General features: G+C 53.8%; 1 protein-coding gene across 6 annotated transcripts in view, besides 5 other annotated features; it reads right to left on the bottom strand.

Moving 5' to 3' along the window:
• IQSEC1 (IQ motif and Sec7 domain ArfGEF 1) overlaps window positions 1-22,894 on the bottom strand; it is a 386,215-nt gene that overhangs the window by 307,293 nt on the left and 56,028 nt on the right. The window lies entirely within an intron of this gene.
• Window positions 4,610-5,145: an enhancer, noted in NCBI's record as "H3K4me1 hESC enhancer chr3:13250445-13250980 (GRCh37/hg19 assembly coordinates)". NCBI's record gives its function as "activates a minimal SCP1, AML or CMV promoter by ChIP-STARR-seq in primed H9 embryonic stem cells {active_cell/tissue: H9 hESC(primed)}" and the evidence as "EXISTENCE:reporter gene assay evidence [ECO:0000049][PMID:30033119]".
• Window positions 5,146-5,683: an enhancer, noted in NCBI's record as "H3K27ac-H3K4me1 hESC enhancer chr3:13250981-13251518 (GRCh37/hg19 assembly coordinates)". NCBI's record gives its function as "activates a minimal SCP1, AML or CMV promoter by ChIP-STARR-seq in primed H9 embryonic stem cells {active_cell/tissue: H9 hESC(primed)}" and the evidence as "EXISTENCE:reporter gene assay evidence [ECO:0000049][PMID:30033119]".
• Window positions 15,397-15,920: an enhancer, noted in NCBI's record as "H3K4me1 hESC enhancer chr3:13261232-13261755 (GRCh37/hg19 assembly coordinates)". NCBI's record gives its function as "activates a minimal SCP1, AML or CMV promoter by ChIP-STARR-seq in primed H9 embryonic stem cells {active_cell/tissue: H9 hESC(primed)}" and the evidence as "EXISTENCE:reporter gene assay evidence [ECO:0000049][PMID:30033119]".
• Window positions 15,921-16,443: an enhancer, noted in NCBI's record as "H3K4me1 hESC enhancer chr3:13261756-13262278 (GRCh37/hg19 assembly coordinates)". NCBI's record gives its function as "activates a minimal SCP1, AML or CMV promoter by ChIP-STARR-seq in naive H9 embryonic stem cells {active_cell/tissue: H9 hESC(naive)}" and the evidence as "EXISTENCE:reporter gene assay evidence [ECO:0000049][PMID:30033119]".
• Window positions 16,444-16,966: an enhancer, noted in NCBI's record as "H3K4me1 hESC enhancer chr3:13262279-13262801 (GRCh37/hg19 assembly coordinates)". NCBI's record gives its function as "activates a minimal SCP1, AML or CMV promoter by ChIP-STARR-seq in naive H9 embryonic stem cells {active_cell/tissue: H9 hESC(naive)}" and the evidence as "EXISTENCE:reporter gene assay evidence [ECO:0000049][PMID:30033119]".

A 22,894-nucleotide genomic window follows, 5' to 3' on the forward strand; every position in this document is an offset into this window, starting at 1 on the left:
CCAAGAGAGACGGAGAAACGGAGAAGAGTCACACCTGTACGACAGAGCACCGCCCCACATCGGCCGAGGTTCGCCAAGCCTCTTCAGAGCACTGTCGCACTTCCCCCTCCCACGGTCCAGCAAGGCAGGAGCTGCTCTTAACCTTGGCTCCCAGCCTAGAAGATGGAGGCCGGGGCCGCCCACCGCTAGCGAGAGCGGCTCACGCTGCGCCTCAGCTGCCCCATCTCTGCAATGGGGACGGAGGCGCTCAGCCTTCCGGAGCTTCGGGGAGATCGCCCGGGATTCCTGGGCGGAAAAGGCCCAGCGCTGTTAAGGGCACGCAGTAGGCGCTCAGAAGGGGCGGCTCGGGTCCCTGTCCTGCGCGTTCGTGCTGTCCGTTTTCTCTATCTCTTTCTTTCTATCTTACTTTCTTTCCTTCCTTCCTTCCTTCTTTCTTTTTCTTTCTGTGTTTCTCTTTCTATCTTTCTTTCTTTTTTTTTTTTTTGACGGAATTTCACTCTTGTTGCCCAAGCTGGAGTGCAGTGGCGCGATCTCGGCCCACTGCAACCTCTGCCTCCTGGGTTCAAGCGATTCTCCTGCCTCAGCCTCCCGAGCGGCTGGGATTACAGGCGCGCACCACCACGCCGGGCTTTTCGTATTTTTAGTAGAAAAGAGGTTTCACCATGTTAGCCAGGCTGGTCTCGAACTCCCGACCTCAGGTGATCCGCCCTCCTCGACCTCCCAAAGTGCTGGGATTACAGGTGTGAGCCACCGCGCCTGGCCCGTGCTGTCCGTTTTCTACAGTTCTGAGCAGAAAATGCTTTCCTGTGCTGACTTGGTACTGCTACAGCGAACTGCCCAGCGCACATCTCCCACCCCATCCTGAACAGGAAGGCTACAGCAGCAAGCCGACGTGTTCATGTTCTCAAAATTGGACCCCCTAAACCACAAGGAACCATTCTGTGCCATAAGCTCACCTCCACCTGGGATACAACAGACTAGTTCAGTCACTCAGCCCAGCTCAGAAGCACCAGACAGGACTGTAAACGCCCACCTGTGCCCAGGCTCCAGTACCAGGAAACAGCTGCCACAAATCTGAAACGTTCCTGTTAGTCCCATCTGAGATGCTTCCGGACCACCTCATCCTTCCTTCTCTCCCTCCATCTACCTGCCCATCTACCTATTCCTCCTTCCTTCCCTCCCTCCCTCTATCCATCCACCCACCCATCCACCCATCCATCCTTCCCTCCCTCTACTGATCCATGCTTCATCCTTCTATCCCTTTCTCCCTCCTTCCTGCCCTCCACCCATACATCCCTCCATCCATCCATCTCTTCACCCCTCCATCCACTCATCCATCCATCCAAACATCCATCCACTCCTCCACCCATCCAGCCACCTATCCATCCAACTATCCCTTCATCCACCCATCCATCTCCCCTCCACCTCCCATCCATCCCTCAATCCACTCATCCATCACTCTACCCACCCATCCATCCTTCCATCCAACCATCCATCCATGCCTCCACCCATCCATCCAACTATCCCTTCATCCACTCATCGATCCCCCCATTCATCCCCCATCCCCCATCCATCCAGCCATCCATCCCTCAATCCACTTATCCATCACTCCACCCACCCATCCATCCCGCCATCCATTCATCTATTCCTCCTTTCATCTACTCATCCATCTTTCCATCCACCCATCCATCCCCCATCCCCCCATCTGCCCATCCATCACTCCTCCCACCCATCTATCTCTCCATCCGGTCAACCATTCCTCCATCCACCCATCTAGCTCTCCATCCATCCACTCATCAATCCCTCCATCCACCTATCCATCCCTCCATCCACCCATCCACCCCTCCATCCACCCATCCACCCCTCCATCCACCCATCTTATGTATGTATAGGACAAAACATCATGTATATAGGGTGTGGCACTAACAGAGATTTCAGGCATCTACTAGGGGTTGAAACACATCCCCCTTGGATAAGGTGGGGTGGGGGGCGCTGTACAGATACTTCACAAAAGAGGAAAGTCTAATGGCTGGGAGACCCATGACAAGACGCTCTACATCCTTAATCATTAGGAAAATGCAAAAGAACACCACAATGAGACACCACGATATGCCCATCAGAGTGGCTAAAATTAACAAGACTGAAAACACCAAATGAATGTAGTTGATATGTTCATCTCCATAGGCACATATGACCGTAAAAACTCATGAGTTTGCAGCTAAGATGTGTGCCCTTTGTTACACATGAGCTATGCCTTAATTAAAATTTTGCAAATCATTAGCAAAACTTTTTAAAAATCGTATGCATTATATAACAAAGCAAACCAGAACAGAGCCAGGGCAGGATGAATGTAAGATGGACAGCAGTCACCTGTGGGAAAGGAGGCAGGTGGGATGGTGAGGGCACATGGGGAGACGCAGCTTACAGACACTAAGCTGGTGAGTGCACATCTTGGTATTTATTTGTGTATTGCTATCATAAATAAACGGGGCCAGGCATGGACCAATGATGGGAGGGAGGCATGAACCAAGAGTTATGATGGCTGCATTCCGTGTACCTGAGGTCCTGGGTGGGTGAGTAGGAGGGAGAAGGTGGGCCCCGAAGCAGCCTCAGGTCAGGGCCAGTCACAACCTGATCCCCAGCTCCCGGCACCTCCCGCCTCCTGGTTAGCCACACCTGGACTGGTCATTTCCCATCTCTAGCATATTAGCCAGGACAGCATCTGAGCTTCGTAGACCTGGGCAGGGCTGTTGGGAGTTGCTGGCCCTGACAATTTCTACTACTGCATCGTGGGACCACCCAACTTGTGCCCTCACCACCCACCTATCCTTGTCACCTGATGTCTAACAAGCGTCTCTGGCTGAACACACCCAGACCAAGCTCTTGACCCTGACCTTCCCCACCTCCGCTCAAACCTTCCCACCAGATTCCTCCTGGCTTGTTTCCCTCCCACAACATCCAGCCATGTCGGCAGGTCCTAACAGCTTCCGCTCCAACACCCATCGCCAATCTGCCTACTTCTCCCCCTCCACGGCCACCTCCCTGACCCAAGCCCCGTCTTCTCTGCCAGGTCCCTGGGACGGCTTCCCTCTGGCCACCCCCAGACCCCCTGCTGCCATTCTAACTCTCCCCATGACACAACCCGCCAGAGCACTCTGGCAATGTCACCACCCACTGCCAACGTGCCAGTGGGTTCCCTTCGTACTCCACGCCAGTTCCCATTCGCAGCCCAGTCAAGAGGATTTGGCATCATCTGGGTCTGTCTCCTGCCCCAGCCTCTGCCCTGGCCTCCCTGAGGCTCCTCACTTGTCCCCACCCCAGAGCCTCTGCACCCAGGGCTCCTTCGCCCCTCAGATTCCTGCAGGGGCTTATCCCTGCCATCAGCCGGCCACGCCATCGCCAGCTCTCCCGGGAGGCTCTCTCTCACCATCGCATCTAAACCAACCATCCCTGCCACCCGGCCACGTGGTCCGGCCAGCCTTGTGTGGTCCCCATACACTGACCAGCCTTCCCTCCTGCCTTTGTGCTGACTTGTTTACTCCATTTATCTCTCCTCACTGCAACATCAGCTCCAAGAGAGAGCACAGCTTTGTCACTACAGAACCCCCAGCATGGCACATAGCAGTTGCTCAACAAATGCATCTTGAATGAACGAATAAATCACTGTATGTTTCTATCACAGACATCTTTCTATGATTCATTAAACAATGAGTTTCCCAAATAATTCAACTTAAAAATTTGTAAGTAGATAGTGACTCAGAACATGGCAAGACTTGGGTGGGTGGGTGGCCAGACAGATGGAGCAAAACAATGAGCGACAAGACACTGCACGGCCACTAGATCTGGAGCAGCCACTTGGGGCTTAACTGAGCAGGGCAGGCTGGAGAATGCCTTGGGAGACACATCCTCTCCAAATACCTTCCCTAGAACACAGCCTTTGGTGCCTCCCACTCTACAGAGAAAAGGAGCTACTCCAAAGGGCACACAGGGCCCTTCCGGATCAGGCCACCAGCGTCTTCTCCAGCCCCAGATCCCAGAACTGCTCTAAGAGCCTTAGCTCATTGGCCACGTCTCCATGCCTCTGCAAAGGCTGTGCCTCCTTCCGTCCCTCGTCCACCTGGTGAACTCCTGTTCACCTGTAACAACCCAGGCTCGGGAACCCACCCAGGGACACCTCCTTTTATCTCCCCAGAGCCCAAGCCCCTCAAACCCACATCTGCCTTGGTCCCCGATCCCAGCATTCTTGATGGATTCATTTGCATGTCTGTTCCCCAGATGAGCTCTGGCCTGACCCATAGCCAGGTCTGGCTCAATGGTTTTGAGGGAGGGAACGAATGAGCAGTTTCAGGAGTGAAGTGGTGCCAAGCTCTGCCCACAGTCAGCCAGTCTGCTGATTCGAGAGGAGCCCCCAACTCCGACCCCCTTCATGTTCCAGCCATGTTCCCTCCCCAGGCTGCCCGCACTCACTCCACCCTGGAGGATGAGCTCGCAGCATGCACCCCTGCGTGCTCACTGCCCTGCCGTGGAGTGCCTGGGGGTTGCCCCGGGATGGGGAGGCCACGTCTGAAGTCAGGGGTCAGCCCTGACCAGGGGCCAGTTCAAAGTCAGTGGGGTGGGCAAGAGTCACACCAAGACCAACACCCCAAGGAAGCAGTGTGTGAACCAGCAGCACCTTCCGGGCTCAGAGCAAGTGACTCAGACCACCGACTGTCCTGGCTGCCTGGACTGCGGTGCCACTTGTCATCACAGGGATGGCTGTTGTCCCTTTGGCTGAGCCCAGGCGAGGCAGCCAGTTTATATTCAGGGGCAGGGACACATGTGGGCAGACACTGGACTCACATTTGGCAGGCAAGAGGCATGCAGCCCACAAAGCCCCAAGAAACTAAACCCTCCCATTCCCAATTCAGGTACAAAGAGAGATGGAGGCAAATGGTGTCCACTAGTCCAGTTGCACTTGCTTGCTCTATCTCCATCTCTCTCCCTCCCTCTCCAATACGGTAAATTAGCATAGATTAAATGTGCCTGGCCTGCAATTCCCTGTAATGTATTCCTTTCCCAGGGCCCAGCTAAACCAATAGCCAATATTTGCTGCACAGCTGCAGAATCATTCCCCAAGGCCTCCATGCATGCCAGCTTCCTCGCGCAGGCTGTGCTGGGGCCTCCTTCCAGACCAGTGCAGCTTGGGCAATTCAAGGGAAGCATCGGCTCTCACAGCCCAGCACCCCCATGCCCTCCCTGCCCTCCCATGTGCCTGGGGCTAGGCTCTCCCTGCAGCACACCCCTGCCTCCGTGCCCTCTCGGACCACACTGAAGGTCTCTAGTTGGCCTGCACTTCGGATTTTTAATACCAGCTGCCTATGCTGGGGGGCTCTCCAACTCTTAAGTCCACAGCTCCTTCCTCCCGAGAGCCTGAGCGTGAATAATCCACTGCATCCCAGGGAGGATGGGCCAGTTCTGGATGCTGCTGTGCGTGCTCCCTTGGGAATTCTTTTGCACTTTCCAAGAGCACCGCAGCAGCCCAACACCCAGCACTGGGGCTGAGTCCCTCACATGCTCCCAGGGCTCCAGCCCCACCATCCTCCAACCTTTCCCATTGCTATGCAGTGGGGGCATTACCCACACATCCCTTATTTTCCTGCAGTGGGAGGCTCAGGAGTCTCAGCCCAGCAATGTCATAGGCTCACTGTGTGACCTTGAGCAGGTCACTGCACTCTTCTGAGCCTCTGAGTCCCAGTCCTCAGCCTCTGAGTCCCGGTTCTCAGCCCAGGGAGTTAGTGGGGAGGCAGCCCAGCCTGGTGAATGAACATCAACCTCGGACACAAACGCACCAGGATTTTAATCCTGGCTTCATCAAATGCCACTTATGTGGCTTGGGCTGTGTGGCCTGGCTGTGGTATCCCCCAGGCTGGGGGGACCCAGTGAGGTAGAATGAACGCCAAGTGCCCGGGACAGGGTAGGTCGTGCCCTTATCCTCGGGTGCCCTCCCAGGGCTCCAGTTCGGCTTCTCATCTAGCCCCGCACACTCATTGCAGGAGAATGTTTCACGCAGCTGGCAGGGGTTGCACCTCCCTGGGCTGCCCAGGGAAGGGAACCGCAATCTCCAAGCCCCCACTGCCACCTCCACTGCAGAGGCACCAGCTGCCAGGCCACCCGCCCCTCCCCTGGGATAATTGCCTGTAGTGCTCAGAAGGAGGGGGTTGATGCGTGTCCATGCGGCTTAACCCCAGGAGCTCCAGCAACTACTCTAGATTATCCCAATCTACGCAGATAAAGCCAGGCCCGTGGAAACTGCAGGCAGACACATGCCACAGCCACTGGAGTCCACTAACAGCCGGGGCTCCTCCGCTCTGAGTTTTCCTAAGAAGGAGAGTGTCTCGGGGGCCGAACTCCACAGAGCTGAGTGGGCTTCAGGCAGCCTCAGGAGTCATGTGTTTCTCCCTGTGCCCACCCTGATGGGGACACTCCTAGGGGAGAAGGGGAAGGAGGCAGGCCCTGAGGCCTTGTAAACAAACGCCATCCACATGGAGGGCACGGCCCACTGTGGACTGAAAGGAACATGGCCAGTCAATGACTCCGGGAGGCCGAGTGGGAGGCGAGGAGGCTGTGACTCTATAAACACAGCAGCACAGACCCCAGATGCCTCCCTCTGGAAAGATCATCCTGTACTATCACTTGAGAGAGACAAGAGTCTGCTAGAAGGTAGAGACCTTGTATGCTGTTCCCTGATGCATCCTCTGGCTAGCAGTGCCTGACACACAGTAGGTGTGCAGTAAAGGTGTGTCGGATGACTGAGTGATCTCCACCCTCATGGAGCTCGCAGTCTGTGTGGACAAGACACAGGGCAGGAGAACAGTGTAAGCACAGCCTGAAGAAATGAGGATCCAGCCTCTGCTTTCACACCTGTGATGACGGGGGTCTCACCACCTCCTCGACAGCAATGAACATGAAAGGCCTTCTTGGCAGCGAGCTCTTCATCCTGTTGCTCCTGAACCCAGGACTTCTAATAGCGTGCCCATGAAATTTACTGAATTAGGAAGGGAGGGAGGAAATATTCCTGCCTGAGGTCTCTGTTTTCTGGGCCCCCACGGGCCCCCTCTGCCCCCTGCCCCAGGTCACCTTACAAACAAAGACCCCAACTCAGGGTCTCGGCTCTTCAGGCATCCACCCCCAAGTCCCCTTTTGGGAGCAGTGTCTTCAGCCACCTCCCTGGACGCCCTTCCCCTAGTAGGAGCCCACAGGGCCAGCAGGAGAGTCACCATCCTTGCCTCTCCATGGCCCCAAAAGAAAGTCTGATCCCCTCAGCCTATCCCTGAAGGCCAGGCCAGGACCCACGAACTGGCACCACCCCAGCCCTGCTCAGCCACCACGTTTCCCAAATCTAGGTGCCCAGCCTCCAGGCCTTTGCCCTGGAACTTCCCTCTTCCTGGAAGGCCCTCTCTCCCTGCCCCCATCCTGGCAGATGAAATCCCTAAAAGCCCACGGCAAATGCCGCACCCTCCATGCAGCCCTCGCCCACCCTCGCAGGCACAGTCCCTCCACGCTGGTTTCGTGTCCACAGAACCTTTCCGTGGCCAGAGGACCCGAAACCCCCACGGCCCTGTGTTTTTGAGCCCCTGTGGGCTCTGGCGCGTGTCGGTGCCCAGCCTCTGTGAGAGGCCCTAGCGGTGGCTCAGCAGCTCTGGAGTCAGGCAGTCCAGAGTCTGAATGCCACCTCTGTCCCATTGTGTGCTGTGCCTCTGAGGGGCAGGTTTCTTAACCTCTCTGAGCCTCAGTTTTCTCAGCTGTAAAGTGGAGCTAATCGTACCTTCCCACCAAGGTTGTTGTGCTATCAGCTCTCTATTCTCTCTGCCTCCTCTGCCCCAGCCCCTGCAACCACTCACTAATCTGCTTTCTGTCTCTACAGTTTTCTCTATTCTGGACATTTCATATAAATGGAATTGTATAATATGTGGACTTTTGTGAATGGCTTCTTGCACCTAGCATGTTTTTAGGGCTCACCCATGTTGTAGCATGTATCAGGACTTCATTCTTTACACAGCTGAATAATATTCCACTGTGTGGAGAGACCACAGTGTGTTCATTCATCAACTGACGGACATTTGTGTTGTTTCCACTTTCTGGTTATTATGAATAATGCTGTTACAAACATTTAAGGATGAATTCTGTAGGTTTTCATCTCTCCTGGGTAGAGGCCCTGGAGTGGAATTGCCGGGTCACAGGGTAACACATGTCTAACTGCTCAAGGTGCTGCCGGACTGTCTTCCAAAGCAGTTACAGCATTTCACATTCTCACCCACAATGCATGAGGGCTCGTTTCTCCACGTCCTCATCTCCTCATCAACACTTGTCATTGTCTGACTTTTTGAGTAGAGCCATCCTGGTGGTGGTAGCGGCACCTCCTTGTGGTTTTGATTTGCCTTTCCTTGGTGGCTAATGATGGCAAGCATCTTCTCACATGTGTACTGGTCACTGGTGTATCTTGTCTGGACACATGTCTATTCCAGTCCTTGGCCCATTTTAAAATCAGGTGATTTTTGTCATTGCTTTGACTGCTTTTTAGTTGAGTTGTCTTTTTGTTATTGAGTTATAAGAGCTCTTTATACATTCTAGGTTCAAGTCTCTTATCAAATATATGATTTGCAAATATTTTCTTCCTTTCTGTAGTTGTCTTTTCACTTTCTGGATAATATTCTTTGAAGCATAAACGTTTTTAACTTTGATGGGGTCCAATTTATCTACTTCTTTTGTTGCTCATGCTTTTCATGTCATGTCTAAGAATCCTTTGCCAAACCCAAGGCCATGAAGATTTACTCCTAAGTTTTCTTGTATTTTATCATTTTTAGTTCTGACATTTAGTTACATTTTGAGTTAATTTTTTGTTTATGGCCTGAAGCAAGAGTCCAGATTCATTCTTTTAAAAGTGGATATCTAATTGTGCCAGCAGCATTTGTTGAGGAGGCTGTTCTTTCCCCACTGAGCCATCTTGGCCCCCTGTGTATGGGTTGATTTCTGGATTCCCAATTTTATTCCATCCATCTAGATGTCCTTCCTGTTTCGGTACCATATAGTATTGATGATGACTGTTGGTTTATAGTAACTTGGACATCGGGAGTTGTGGGATCCCCTACTTTGTTCTTTTTCAGGACCATTTTGGCTACCCTGGGCTCCTTGAGCTTCTCTGTGAATTATGGAATCAGCTCATCACCCACGTTCTTGGAACCTGAAGGCAGGATTTTATCCACGGCTCCTTCAACTTTATGTCCTTCACTTTGAGCCATGTTTTTAGTCATGAAAGATCATATTACACCTGCTGAAATCCAAACAATCCACACATTTAGTAATTACCAGACTGCAAGCTAAGCAATTACCACCACATGACCGGGCCAGTGTGAGTGGGTCCCAGGGATATGAGTGGGTCCCAGGGATGGGATTGGGAACATCAAGGTAGAAAAGATGCTGCACATGGCTGCAAGGAAAGGAAATAAGTGCCTAGGCCATCTCAGGAATGGCCATCACCTGCCCACCTGCCTGGCACCAAAACCAGGGGCCAGGCACCATCCTGGGCTCGTATCCACAGCCAGTTAGCCACTGAGCCTCACTGATTCTGCCGCCCAGAAGTCCCATCTAGGGCCCTCTCCCAACCCCAACCTGGACCCATCGCTCTCCCCCGGGCTCTTCCTGGTCCCTCCCCGCCACCCGGCTCCTTCCTCTGATAGGCCTGTCCCCTGTGTCCCTGTCCACTGTGCTCTGTCCACACGGCCCAGCCCCTCCTGGCCTTTGCTATACTGGTCTCTCTGCTCCAGTGTCATTCTCCCCTCCTGCCAAAGGGTCCCAACCCTTAACGCGACGAACCCCTCTCTTACCCTTCTAGTCGCACTGCAGGGGCTTCTAAGCCTTTGAGAGCCAACCTGCCCTGGCCGGGTGAGACTAACCCTGTCTGAGTCATTAACATCAGCCTTCTGCAGAGGACCCGGAACACCACATCTGCTGCTCCCAACACCCTTGTCCAGGAGCTGCCCAGGCCGACTCCTCACCCCGTCCCACAGCCAGCACAGGCAGGCACACGGCAGGGCTGCAGCAAGCTCGAGCCAGAACTCTGGCCGTGGCCCCCTGCCTTGAATCTGGGACATGTCCCTCCTCGTAGCCCTCCTTCCTCCAAGAAACAAATGGGAAACTCCCTTTCATGGCCTCCATTGCACGTGGGTGCAGCCTGGGGCCTCTCACTGCCAGGTGGACGAACCAGGGCAGGAATCCTAGCAGAAGCCTGTGAGGTGAGGAGGGGGCACCTCCAGGAATCCACCCTGGCAAGAGCAGGGCCACGGTGCCATCAAGGGGCCACTGTGGCACACGAGCTGGTGTCCGGTGGAGCACGGTCTCCAGGGAGCGGTGTTGAGGTCTCAGCTGGGCACCATGCCTGACCATGCAGCTGGTTTTCTGACCTTCCAGATGGTGTGCGGCACCTGGCATTCTGGAACTTCTCTTTCTGTGTAAAGAGCAAGAGCAGGTCCCAGTGTTTGCAGCTGAGCGCCAGGACCGACGTCGGGCTCTGCTGAGCACTAGCCGAATGAACAGGCACCCGAGTGAACGGATGAGTGGAATTTACTGCACCCATAAGTAGAATCTTGAGCCCTGTGCCTGACCTAGACTAGGCCCTCAGACATGGTTCAGGGCTGGCAGGATGAGTAAGTGCCTACTGAATGCAAAGGCTGCAGAGGCGAGAGGCAGGTGGTGGGGATGCAGCTCCTTGTGCACCATCTGGCAAGGGAAGAGAAGGTGACTCTTTACCACCAACCCCTCCCCTGTGCCAGGCTCCTGCAGTACACAAGACAGGAGCATGGAGGAAAATCAAACCAAGCCTCCGCCAGTGGGATGGAAAAGGTTTCCAAATAAACCAGCGGCCAAGGCTCAGAATGGCTGACCAGAGGCCTTGCCCAGAGGACAGAGAAATCCACACGGCTGCCTGATGAAATCGAGAGGACACGCCAACTAGATTAGCACAGATCATCAGCCTACAACCAAAGTACCTGCTCCAGGAGCACACGGAGCTTTGGCGCCCACCTTCAGGCTCTGGCCATGCCAGACATCATGAAGGGCAGCCTCAGGCTCCCTCAGAAAAGCAAAGAACAAGAACTGCAAGAGTTTCGTTTAAAATCCATGTTAAGTCTGAACAGCTTCACAATTGCAATTAGCCAGACAGAGCTCTCTGCACATTTGAGAGGCTTGATAAACGCCTCTTTGGTCCTGGGGCCGAGGGAGGCAAAGTTGCACAGATAATAAAACACCAGGGCATTACCAAATCTTCTCAGCATGGATGACACATGGATGTGTTGATGGGGCCCAGAGAAGGCCGACATGGCCACTGCACTCCACCCCTGGCACGGGCTGGGCAGAGAGGCCGGTATGATCAGCAATTCCCACATAAGCTCAGAGCCCCTCCACAGTGGCTGATGCCATATAGCTGGGGAGCAGCTGGGCTGAGAGGAGAGCCCGTTTCTCAAACGTCTCCTGTTGAGAAGGGCCAGGGACCTTCAGGCAGGATCTGCTGTGGAGCTCACAGAACAAGTATCCTCCGAGCCCCAGAGCAGACCAGGCCCGGGGCTTCCAAACCAAATCTCTGTCTCAGCCCTCACAGCCAAAGTCTGCTTCTCTTAGTGATTCCTAAACATCCAGACACCATGTGCAGGGGATGATGCCCTCAAAGACGGGTAGAGCCACTTCCTGGGGCTGGGCAGGCCCTCCAGAGCTCTGTCCAACACCTATTGGAAATGCCTTTAAGTGGGCGTGTCCTTTGGCCATTCTAGGAATCTATCCAAAGGACACAGTCATTGCACAAAGATGCAAAGATTGGCAGTGACCAATTGCTCAACGGTAGGAGGTTGCATATGTAATAACAGCACCCATGCAGTGTGGGAAAATAGGCAGCCAACAGCGCAGCTGTAGAACAGCATTTCCCAACCAGCATCCCCTACACCAGCAGCCCCATGTGAGCTCCCAGAGGAACACATGGTCAAATATGTTTAGGACTCATTACCAGCAGGGGACAGGGGGCCCTCGGAAGGGGCCACTTGAGCCAGCCACATGAAGGGACGGCTTACAGAGGGCAGGTGAGGGCAGGGAGCCCCCCAGAGACACACCCAGGGCTAGCAGAGCGACGAGCTGTCCACTCCCTGGACCTAAGGGATGAGAGGGAGCAGTCACCTGAACCCAAAGGGATTGCAGAGGGGAGCTGTGGCTGGGGACAGGGGGACCGCAGGAGGGGCTAGAGAAATGAATATCCCAGCCTCTTTCCATCCTGCCCACTGATCTCCCATCAGTAAACCCACCAGAAAGCTGGAGGGTGCGGAAGCCAGTGAGAGAGGGCATCCCTCCAGGGCACAGAGTATGGTGAGCAGTGGACAGTGGGTCCAGACAGACAGATGGACAGAACACCCGGATGCACTCTCTTCCCCGTGGAGAAACAAAATGCTATTCTATTCATTAGCACATGGAATACACACATTTAACTTCACTTACCCCTGCCCACTCCAGAACATATGGACGCTTTCTCCCGATGAGTTTAGGTCACACTGACCTAGAAGAGTTAATGGCATAGGACACAGCATATCACGACGCAGGCAAGGTGAACACACTGCAAAACTTAGCTGATGACAGGAGCCCAATGGTGGTGACAAAGGATTTGCCATGGAGAAGAGCCCTGAAGGACATTCTCCCCCATTACAGATGACAAAAGATGATTTTGATTTTATTCTTAGTGCTTTTAAAAAAAAAATCCAACTGAACAGAGTGAACCTGACTCAGGCTTTTTTGCTTGTTTTGTTTTACAATTCAATGACTTTTGTAACTTTCACTGAATGGTGCAATTACCACCATAATGTTAGATTTACAATGTTTTCTTCTCCCAATGAGATCCCTCATGCATTTACATCCAATGCATTCCCTTATCCATCTTCAGCCCCCAGCAATCACTAATCTACTTCTATCTCTATGGGGTTGCCTTTTCAGGACTTCCATATGCCACAGTCTGGTGGCGGGGCTTCCTCCACTTGGCATTGTGTTTTTGAGGTTTATCCATGACATAGGGTGCACCAGCAGATCGTTCCTTTTCAGGGCTGAGTAGTAGTCCACTGTGTGGAAGTACCAAGTTTTCTCTCCATTCACACCATTTTTTTCACAATGCTTCTGCCTTAAACCACTGGGAGGGACTTGCTCTCCAGAAAGAGAGCATAATGGAGGCACCTCCACAGCTGGTCCAGAAGCCTTGGGTCTGGCTGGCTCCAAATTTCCCCAACTTGATTCATTCTAGGCCCCATCTCCAGTTTTGTGCCATGTCCCTATAAACTACTTAGTATTTTCCTTTAAATTGCCTCACTCCTTTACTTAAATGTATTTTGAAAAGAAAATTCACTTTTATTTATATTCACATTTTAAATGTAAAATACTATCATTACTTGAAATAGAAAAGAATGCTCAAAATAATACCAGGAACACAAAACAATGACATCACATTCTTGCTCCAGACTCTTGCTGTTTCACCCCAAGCTGATCCCTGAAAGAGGCCCAGACACCAGACTGGCACCAAACTGAGCCACTGTCCCATACAGAACCAGAAGAGCTGGAAAGACCTGGGATGTAATGACCTGACCTCTACACAGCACCCGAAGCATCTAGAAGCAGCACCATCATCACATGCTAGCCCCCCACCTAAAGTCAGGTGCACCCCTGGCTTCCGAGGCCCCCTGGCAGCTCCGGCATTCTAGGATTCCAGGATTCCCACATGCAGAGGCTGGGAACCTTGACAAAGCTGTGTCGGGGGTGGGAGCAGGAGTGACCTAGCACCTCCTGTGTGCTGACTTCCTTCCACATGCACCTATGGTGCTCCCAGGTGTGCGAGGCCTGGGGCAAGGCATGGGTGGGGAGCGGCTGGACCTTGCTGTGCTGAATCCTTGAAGTTGGGATCATTTTTTAATCCCATTAGTCCCCAGGGTCTGGCTCAGTGCTGGCTATACAGCAGGTGCTCATGGAATGTAGAATGAATGACTCATAGGTGTGTGCATGAATGAGCTGGCTGGTGAGAGAAAAAGACAGACAGAATAACTCATCTGAAAACTACTCGAACCATTCAAAAGGTGCTGCTCTCCAAGGCAACAGAGTCTTTGGCGGGAGGTGTGGGAAGCCTGTGGCCGAGACAGCATAGTGGCTGCACTAACACACAAGATGCTTTTCACAACTCATGACTGGGGAAAAGGGAAAAGGTTTTTAAAATTTTTTCATGGAAACTGGAAAATGAAGTTCATGTGCTCTATTTGCTCCTGTTCATGCACAGGTGGAGGTGAGGGGTGGCCCCAGGCCCAGAGGTGTCTGTCGGGGAGACCCCTGACTGCCACCCTCAAGGGTGTGCACTGGGTCCTGCAGGCAATGGGGGAGCCATTGAACATTCTTGAGTGAGGGTGGCCTGAACAGATCCAGCTTCAGCATGACTTCTCTGGCAGCAGGTGTGCAATGGAAGGAACCTGGAGGAAGGAGGGCAGCCCCGGCCGCCACCTCTACCCCCAGAGGCTTCTACACGTCCTCAAACTCTCCCAAATCACCCATAATGCCTCCTTTTCCCTCACCTACTCAATGCCACCCACCAAGTCAGCTGCACGTGCACCCAAAATGCTCTTGTCGCCACAGCCACCCTGGTCCAGGCCAGCAGCAGCTTTCCCCTGGGCCACCATGTCAGTCTCCCAGCGGATCTGGCAGCTGCCTCGGGCCCTTCTACAATTTGTGCCACAGCAGGAAAGGCCTTTAAAATAACGTCACACCATGTCACCCCCAAGCTCCTGCAAAAACCCTCCAAAAGCTCAGTCCATCCACCTCACCAGCAGGCCCTGGCTGAGCCATGCTTCCCCAGAGACAGGCTGCATGGTGCTCCTGACACCTGCTCCCAAGTTCACTGGTAAGAGGAAGCCGAAGGTCAGCGGACTCCAGAACTGGCCCTTCACTGGCCGCGGCTGCCCACACTGTCCAGGTGCTGGAAATCCCCTCCCTGGAGTTTCTCCTGGCAGTGTAACCACCCCACAGCCCCCCAGGGAGCTCCCCACATTGGAAAAATATTTCTGGGGCCCTGGTGGCCCCAAATTGGGATGGCCACCATCAAGGATGTGCCCCCACCCCCGGCGGGAAGGCACATGAAGCAGACGCACCTCGCAGAGCGCTGCCTCATTAATACTCATCGCCACTTCACCAACACCCACCCGGCGGTCTTCGGGGATCAGCGGAGGTGTGAAAGTGGATGCATTAGGATGTTAAATAGTTCAACAGCAAGCAGCTCCTGCCAAGTGCTTAGTGGCTTTCTGCTTGCTGGGGCAGTGGCGCCAGTGCTGGCCCAAGGCCCGGCCACCTCAGCAGGACAGCATGAGGACAGTCCGGGCCTGCCACGTGGCCACCAGAGGTGGGGTGGTGCCTCTAACCAGCTGGGGGGTGGCACATCTTCATCCATGGACCATCACTTCCCAGCAAGGCCCTGAGAGGCTGGTGGCTTATTTCCTTAATGCCACTGCTGCCCACAATATCCAGAGAGTTTGACTTTGGGACTTGAATGCATTTATTTGTCTTCTCTCTCCCAGTCACTCCAGGCGTGGCAACTCCTCACCGGAAACCTGAAACGTGGCAAAAGTCACCTGCAGCCCCAGTCCTGGGAACCGGGGTCTGTGCAGCCACCTGTGCTCAGGCTGCCACCACCCCCGTCACAGGCTCCTGCTGGGACACTATTTCTAAACCCCAGCTTTAGGCACTTCAGTGCTTTTGAAGATTTTAAATTGGCACGGGTTAGCATTGCAAACTCAACTGCCTCCTGGGGCCGGCAGTGGCCGGGCCAGGTGGGCCTGGAGCAAACTGGAGAGCCAGCCTGGCCCCTCCAAGGGGACTGCGCCACTCAGTTCCAGCCCCAGACCTTGATCGCCTCAAATTTCAAACTTGGAAATGGTCACATAGGGCCTGTGACCAACATTGCCAATTTGAGACTTGGGGCCCAGGAGAAGAATGGGGGCAAAGAAGGGGGGTCCTTGCCCCCTACTCCTTTTCCACCCCATTATCTGCCAGTTGCCCCTCACACCCCACTGGCCCCCACAAGGGGCTTCTCCCGCTCTGTGGCCATCATCTAGACTGAGACATGGGTCTAGACTGAGAGTCCCTCAAAGGCAAGGCTTCTGAGTCCCAGGGAAGAGGACTCCCTGCTAAATTTTCATTGAATTAAATGACTAATTAATGATCTAGCCTATTTCCTGGTCGGGACAAGGTCAGCCTCACGGCCATCGCTGACTTGCTCCTCTGGTTTATGCATGGTCTCAGGAGTCAGTCCCTACAGAGCACGGCCTGAGACATTCCGAGGTGCACGTCGACCCTTGCAGAGGACAGCCAGCACCCCAAGTGTGAAGGGCGATGCCGCCTGGACACTCACGTCCCGGGATATTTGGCTAAACTGGCCTCATTAACAGGCCGGCCAAACACTCCTCACATATCCACTGGCATCTAGATCTGCGTGGATGGGTTTTGCTGCCAAACTCCTGTTTCTATTGACAGCTACCAGCCACCGGGCCACTTCACAGGCATTAATGCCACTTATTTCTCAAACCGGCTTCAAGAGCTGCTGGCCTCATCCATGGTTGGGGAAACGACATAGGGGAACAACATTGTAGAGAAAGGCAGCGACTGAGGCTTAAGGAGGCAGGGAGGCCAGTGAGCAGGGGAGGCCAGGGCTCATAAGCAGGGCTGTCGCTGGAAGGACCCTATAGTGTGACACCATAGCAAGGCCTGGAGCCAGGAGGCCTTGGTGAGGGGAGGGAAGTGGTTTCTGCCCCTGAGGCCACTATTCCAGGCCCCGCCCTGGTCACGGTGGGGTGCCTGGGTGGTGCCCAGAGGGATTTTCCTGAGGGTGGACACAGGCTTCAGCCCGCCTGCTCTGGGGGCAGCTGCCTGACCCACGCCCCTCTGCAGGCCCCTCTGTCTCAGCCAGAAGGGTGACACTGTTCCTCCAACAGGACATGTCCCTGCGGTAGGAGCCAGGGAGAGGTGGAGTTAGGACAGAGCCTCTGTCACACAGAGGCCTCCTTCAACCTCAAGCATCCTCAGGGGGCACAGGAAGGGCCTTCCAGGCAAGGCCAAGTAGAGGGCCCCCACCTGTGGACTCCCACCCCAACTGCCTGCGGCCAAGCCCCTGCCCGCCCACCCCAGGCCGCCTGGCCAAGGAGGCCCTCCCAAGGCAAACCCAGGGGCCTAACAAGCTCAGACACTGCAGGTCTCCCAGGGCCCCAGGAACAGACGCCTGGAGCCCACGGCGGCTCTCCGTCTCCTGCCCAAGTGGGGCTTCCATCCCTCCAATGGGGCAGCGTGTGGCTCCATGACTGTATCACAGAGGCCGGGCCTCCTCGGCAGGGAGCTGCCTCCGGCATTGGCATCTGCCACAAAACCGGGAACTCCCCTGCAGTCAGCGATCTGGAAAGCCAGCCTCCCAAACTAGATTCATAAAGGACTCCAGGGCCTGATCTGGAAATTTAGTGTGCTCCGAAAATGAGCCAGTTTCCTCAACCATGACCAGGCCCGCCTGGAGATGGTAGCCGCGGAGCAGAGGGGCAGGAGGGAGGAGAAACACCCCAGCCTACAGCCCTGCAACCCCCAGAGGAGTGTCCCCTTTCCTTTTCATTATGGTAAAGGATACATAACACACATTTACCACCTCATCCATTTTAAGCGCACACTTCAGTGGCATTAAGACTTTCTCATCTTCCCCAACTGAAACTCTGCCCCATGAAACACGAACCCCCAGCCCCCCTCCCCCAGCCCCTGGCACCTCCATTCCACTTTCTGTCTCCGTGAATGTGACTACTCCAGGGACCTCACAGAAGTGGAATCATGCAGTATTTGTCCTTTTGTGGCCGGCTCATTCACTAGCATCCTGTCGTCCAGGTTCATCCCTGTTGCAGCGCAGCACAGAACGCCCTTCCTTTTTAGGGTGAATCATATTCCATTGTAGGGACAGACCACGTTCATCTGTCACGGACACTTTCTTTGCTTCCACCTTTGGCTATTGTGAGTAATGCTGTTGTGAACATGGGTGTGCACACATCTGTTTGAGGCCTTGCTTTCAATTCTTTTGGGTCTACACTGAGAAGTGGGATTGCCGGATCATATGGGAATTGTATTGTATGTTTAACTCCTTCGGGAACCACCACACCGTTTCCCACGGCGGCTGCACCACGTTACCTCCCCCCAGCAATGGAGCCACAGAGGTTCTTATTTCTCCACATCCTCACCAACCAGAGAATGGCCTCTCGCAGCAGACGCTGGGGGCCAAGCTCGGTGGTAGAGGCCATTGAAAGCACTCCCAGGTCAAACAGGCTTGGGAAACTGATCACGTTTCTTCCCCACCGGACTCCTCAGAGTGCTCGATGTGCCAATGAGCTCAGGACCCACAAAGGGCGACGTGTGTGGGGCCCCAGACCCTCTGCTTCCTTTAGGGCTGCTGAGGAACTGCTCTCTGAGGGGCAGCCTGGGGACTGGCTGGTCCCCCATGGCACAGGCCCACAGCAGGGTAAACTCAGAAAGCAAGAGGCAGTGCCCAGACTCAGCTCCAGCCCCTCAGCACCCTGGCATCCACTTACCAAGGTGTCGATCGTGATGGATGGGAAATAACAAAAAGGGGTCTTTTGTCAGACAGGTTGAGAACTGTGGTTCTAGAAGGCTCTGCCATCGAGGTTTGGGCAGGGTTGGGGGAGGTGTGACCCATCCAGACCCCCGGCTTGCCCGGCCAGTGGGCACATGGCAGCTGCTGTGCCTGACTCTCCACACTCCCTCAGTAATACCCCAGAATGTCAGGTCTTCATGGAAAAGTCAACGCTTCCTGCATAATTGGCTTCTTCCCAGTTAGAGGCATGAGCTCTGGGAGGAAATAATGGAAACATACAAACTCAGGTTTAGACTGGATCCAAAAGGCCCAAACCCTCCCACAAGGATGGAGATCTTCCAGATTGCAGGGAGGTCCCCGGGTCTCTGCTTCCCCACCTCCAGAGATAGGAGCGCGCCACCTCCTGGCACAGCCTCCACCCCTGGGGAGTGGAAAAGCTTCTCCGCCCACCCAGCAGAGTCCTCCCTGCTGCAGAGGGAGTCCTTGAGGCAGAACTCCTTGGGGATGGCAGCCCTTCTCATCAGAGGGAAGCTGGGAATGGGGGACAGGTGGGTAGGTCCCACCCTCCCAGCAGAAGGGCAGGAAAAACTGGCCTCCCAGGTCCTCGCGCGCCCACCTTCCCCATGCACCCATCAGCCAGATCTGAGAACGCAAGTTCCTGCCCACAAGAGACACACTGGGGACATGCAGGGACCGCGGCGTCTGCAGAGGAAGTCAAAGCAAAGGCATTAGCAGGAAGAGGAAAAGCTGATTCATTTTTGAGCTGCATTCCAGACTTTACACCTGGCCCATCTCAGCATTTTCTAAATGGACAGACTCAGAGAGAGGAGGGAAGAAAGGGGACATCTTGTGCCCTAGAAATTCACTGCCCAGAGCTCCCTCCTAAGGCGCTGTTGGTTTGGAGTCACCGGACATTAATGAGCTTTGGAAGGGAATGTTGGTCAGCACAAAGCAGTGCCTCGGAGCCAGGCTCTGAGCCAGGGGGTTGGGGCCGAGTCCTCCCTCAGCCCCAGAGCTGCTGGGTGACCTTGAGCAAGTTGCTCAATCTCCAGTTCCTTATCTGAGAAATGGAAGCAATGAGGAGGCCAACCTCGGGAGGCTGCTGGGAGGCTTCAGTGGCAAAGGCAGGAAGACTACACAATCCAGGGCCGGTGCAGAGCGAGAGCCTACCACAGGGGCCGTTAGAGCCGACATCGACCTCACTACCAGGAATGAGTCCCCTCTGTGGTCCAGACCAATCAGAAGGAGGGAGAAGACAGAGGTCCTGCCCGAACCCAGGAGGTCAGCAGGAAGAAAGAAGCCCCCACACCCAATTATCAGGCCCCGAGAGGAAGGGTGGAAGGGCCTGGGAGGAGAATGACTTCTGCCTTGGGGATCAATGTGGGCATCACTGGTCTCCTAGTTCTGGGCCCTGGGCCCAGCCCAGGCAGGGACCGCCTGCTGTCCAGGGTGCAATGGGAGAAGGGGCGCTGGGCAGACTGTTGAGGGGCTTCAGCCTTGTGACATCCTCTCAGCCAATCCACTTTTCCTTTAGCTTTCTGAGTGCTGAAGCAGCCCCCTGAGAGCATCTGATCTCCGCAGTGCTCACCAGGGCATGTCTTGGGGTTCGACTTGACGTTCAGTGCCACAGGCCTGACCTAGGCCACCGCCCACCAAGATGGACCCAGGACGGGAGCATAGCCTGCCAGGAGGGTAGCTTCGACTGTTCCTCTTCTGTAGTTGCCCACATGGCCACATGGGAGCCATCTCCATTGTCAATCCCCCCGCCAACTCCCGTGACCACACAGGTGCAAGGAGACCAGAGGCACATCAGGCAGGTATGGGAGCTGCCCTGGCTTAAAAGCCTCATGCCCCCCAGAAGCCAGCACCTCTACTAACAATTCCATCAGCAAAGCATACCGGATGCCCCACGGGGACGTGTCCAGCACAGAGTCACTATGCTCTGTGAAGCCCAAGCCTGGTGGCCCAGCAGGTACTCATAGCTCCCCTGCCCAGATACCATTGTGCCATTAGCAATACTGCCCAGCAGTAGTGAGACATTCTGCCTTTACCTGGTTCCCAGGGAAACAGAGCTAGAAAGTTAACCCGAGATCAAATTCTCATGCAGGGCAAGGGTTTTGCTACCATAGTCCGCCCCATGACCTTTGGTCAACACCTTCACATGGACACCAATGCATTTTACAACCACCAGGAGTTGTATAACCCAATGGGGCATGAACGTCCCTTTTGTCCCCTAACCAAGTGGACTTCCCCTGTGGTCAGTTAGTTTTATAGCCCCATGGTGCCTTTTGATCCTGGGATGAAAGGCAATGGTACTTCGGATAACACTAAATGTGTGTTTAATGCACCAAAGATGGAACAGTGTTTTACCAGAAGCCACTGAATGCATGACATGAAGTCACCTCAAGATGTGATTGTATGCGATTCTGTTATGATTTGGGCCTGTTTTTCTCTCTCTGGAACATATGGGCTGTGTTAAAATGAAAGTTCATCATAAATAGGACTCAACAAGCATACATTCACTTGGCAGGTGGTAAGTACCAGAAAGCCTTCTAGTCACCCATTCAACAAATATGTATCAGGCCCCTAACATGTGCTAGACACAGGCTGGGAGAGATGAAGAAAATAAAGAATAGATCCCTGCCATGAAGAAACTCAAGGATAAGTGAAGATTCAGAAACACACATAAATAGATCACTTCTAAGGACTCTGAGAAAGGTATATCCACAGGACAATGGAAGCAAGGAAGGAGATAAGTTAACCCTACCTGGTAGAGGGGCAATTTAGGTTGGGTAAGGAAGAAAAGGTTTGATGATCTTGCACCTTGCATAGGGTGCAAGAAGCAGCTAGAAAGGCTATTTGATTTGTTAATTCATCAATTTTTTTTTTTCTTTTTTTGAGAAGGAGTCCCACTCTGTCTCCCAGGCTGGAGTGCAATTGTGCCATCTCTGCTCACTGCAACCTCCGCCTCCTGGGTTCAAGTCAATTCTCCTGCCTTAGCCTCCCGAGTAGCTCGGATTACAGGCACCCACCACCACGCCTGGCTAATTTTTGTTTTTAGTAGAGACAGGGTTTCACCATGTTGGCCAAGCTGGTCTCGAACTCCCGACCTCAGGTGATCCACCCGCCTCGGCCTCCCAAAGTGCTGGGATTACAGGCGTGAGCAACCGCGCCCAGCCAATTCATCAAATTTTAATTAAAGTGACAATATAGCTTAGGGACTAAGAACACAGATTCTGAAACCAGTGTCTGCCTGGATTTGAATCCCAAGTTTGCCATTTAGTACTTGCCTGGCCCTGTGTTAGTTACCTAATCTCTCTGTACCTCAGTTTACTCATTTTTAAATGATAATAATAATATCCACCTCAGATCATTGTTCATTCACTCAACAAATAATTACTGAGCACATACTGTATGCCAGGAATTGTTCTAAGCACTGAGGACACATCCGGGAACAAAATAAAAATTCTTGACCCCCCAGGCTGGGCAAGGTGTAATCCCAGTGATTTTGGGAGGCCAAGGCAGGAGGATTGCTTGAGGTCAGGAGTTCAAGACCAGCCTAGGCAGCATAGTGAGACCCCATCTCTACCAAAAAAAAAAAAAAATGGTTAAAAATTTGCCTCATCAACCCAGTAAGTGGGCACGTGGCAGCTGCTGTGCCTGATTCTCCACACTCCTTCAATAATGCCCCAGCATGTCAGATCTTCATGGAAAAGTCAACGCTTCCTGCATAATTGGCTTTTTCCCAGTTAGAGGCCTGAGCTCTGGGAGGAAATCATGGAAATATACAAACTCAGGTTTAGAAGGGATCCCAAAGGCCCAAACCCTCCCACGAGGATGGAGACCCTCCAGATCTCAGGGAGACCCCCAGGTCTCTGCTTCCTCACCTCCAGGCACAGCCTCCACCCCCAAGGACTGGAAAAGCTTCTCCGCACACCCAGCAGAGTCCTCCCTGCTGCAGAGGGAGTCCTTGAGGCAGAACTCCTCGTTTGGGATCGTTTGAGCCCAGGAGTTCAAGGCTGCAGTGAGCGATGATCATGCCACTGTAGTCCAGCCTGGGGGACAGAGATACTGTCACTAAAAAAAAAAATTCCGGCCAGGCGTGGTGGCTCACGCCTGTAATCCCAGCACTTTGGAAGGCCGAGGCAGGTGGATCACCTGAGTTCAGGAGTTCAAGACCAACCTGGCCAACCTGGTGAAACCCCGTCTCTACTAAAAATACAAAAATTA

The sequence above is a fragment of the Homo sapiens genome, chromosome 3, assembly GCF_000001405.40.
Source record: "Homo sapiens chromosome 3, GRCh38.p14 Primary Assembly".
NCBI lineage: Eukaryota > Metazoa > Chordata > Mammalia > Primates > Hominidae > Homo > Homo sapiens.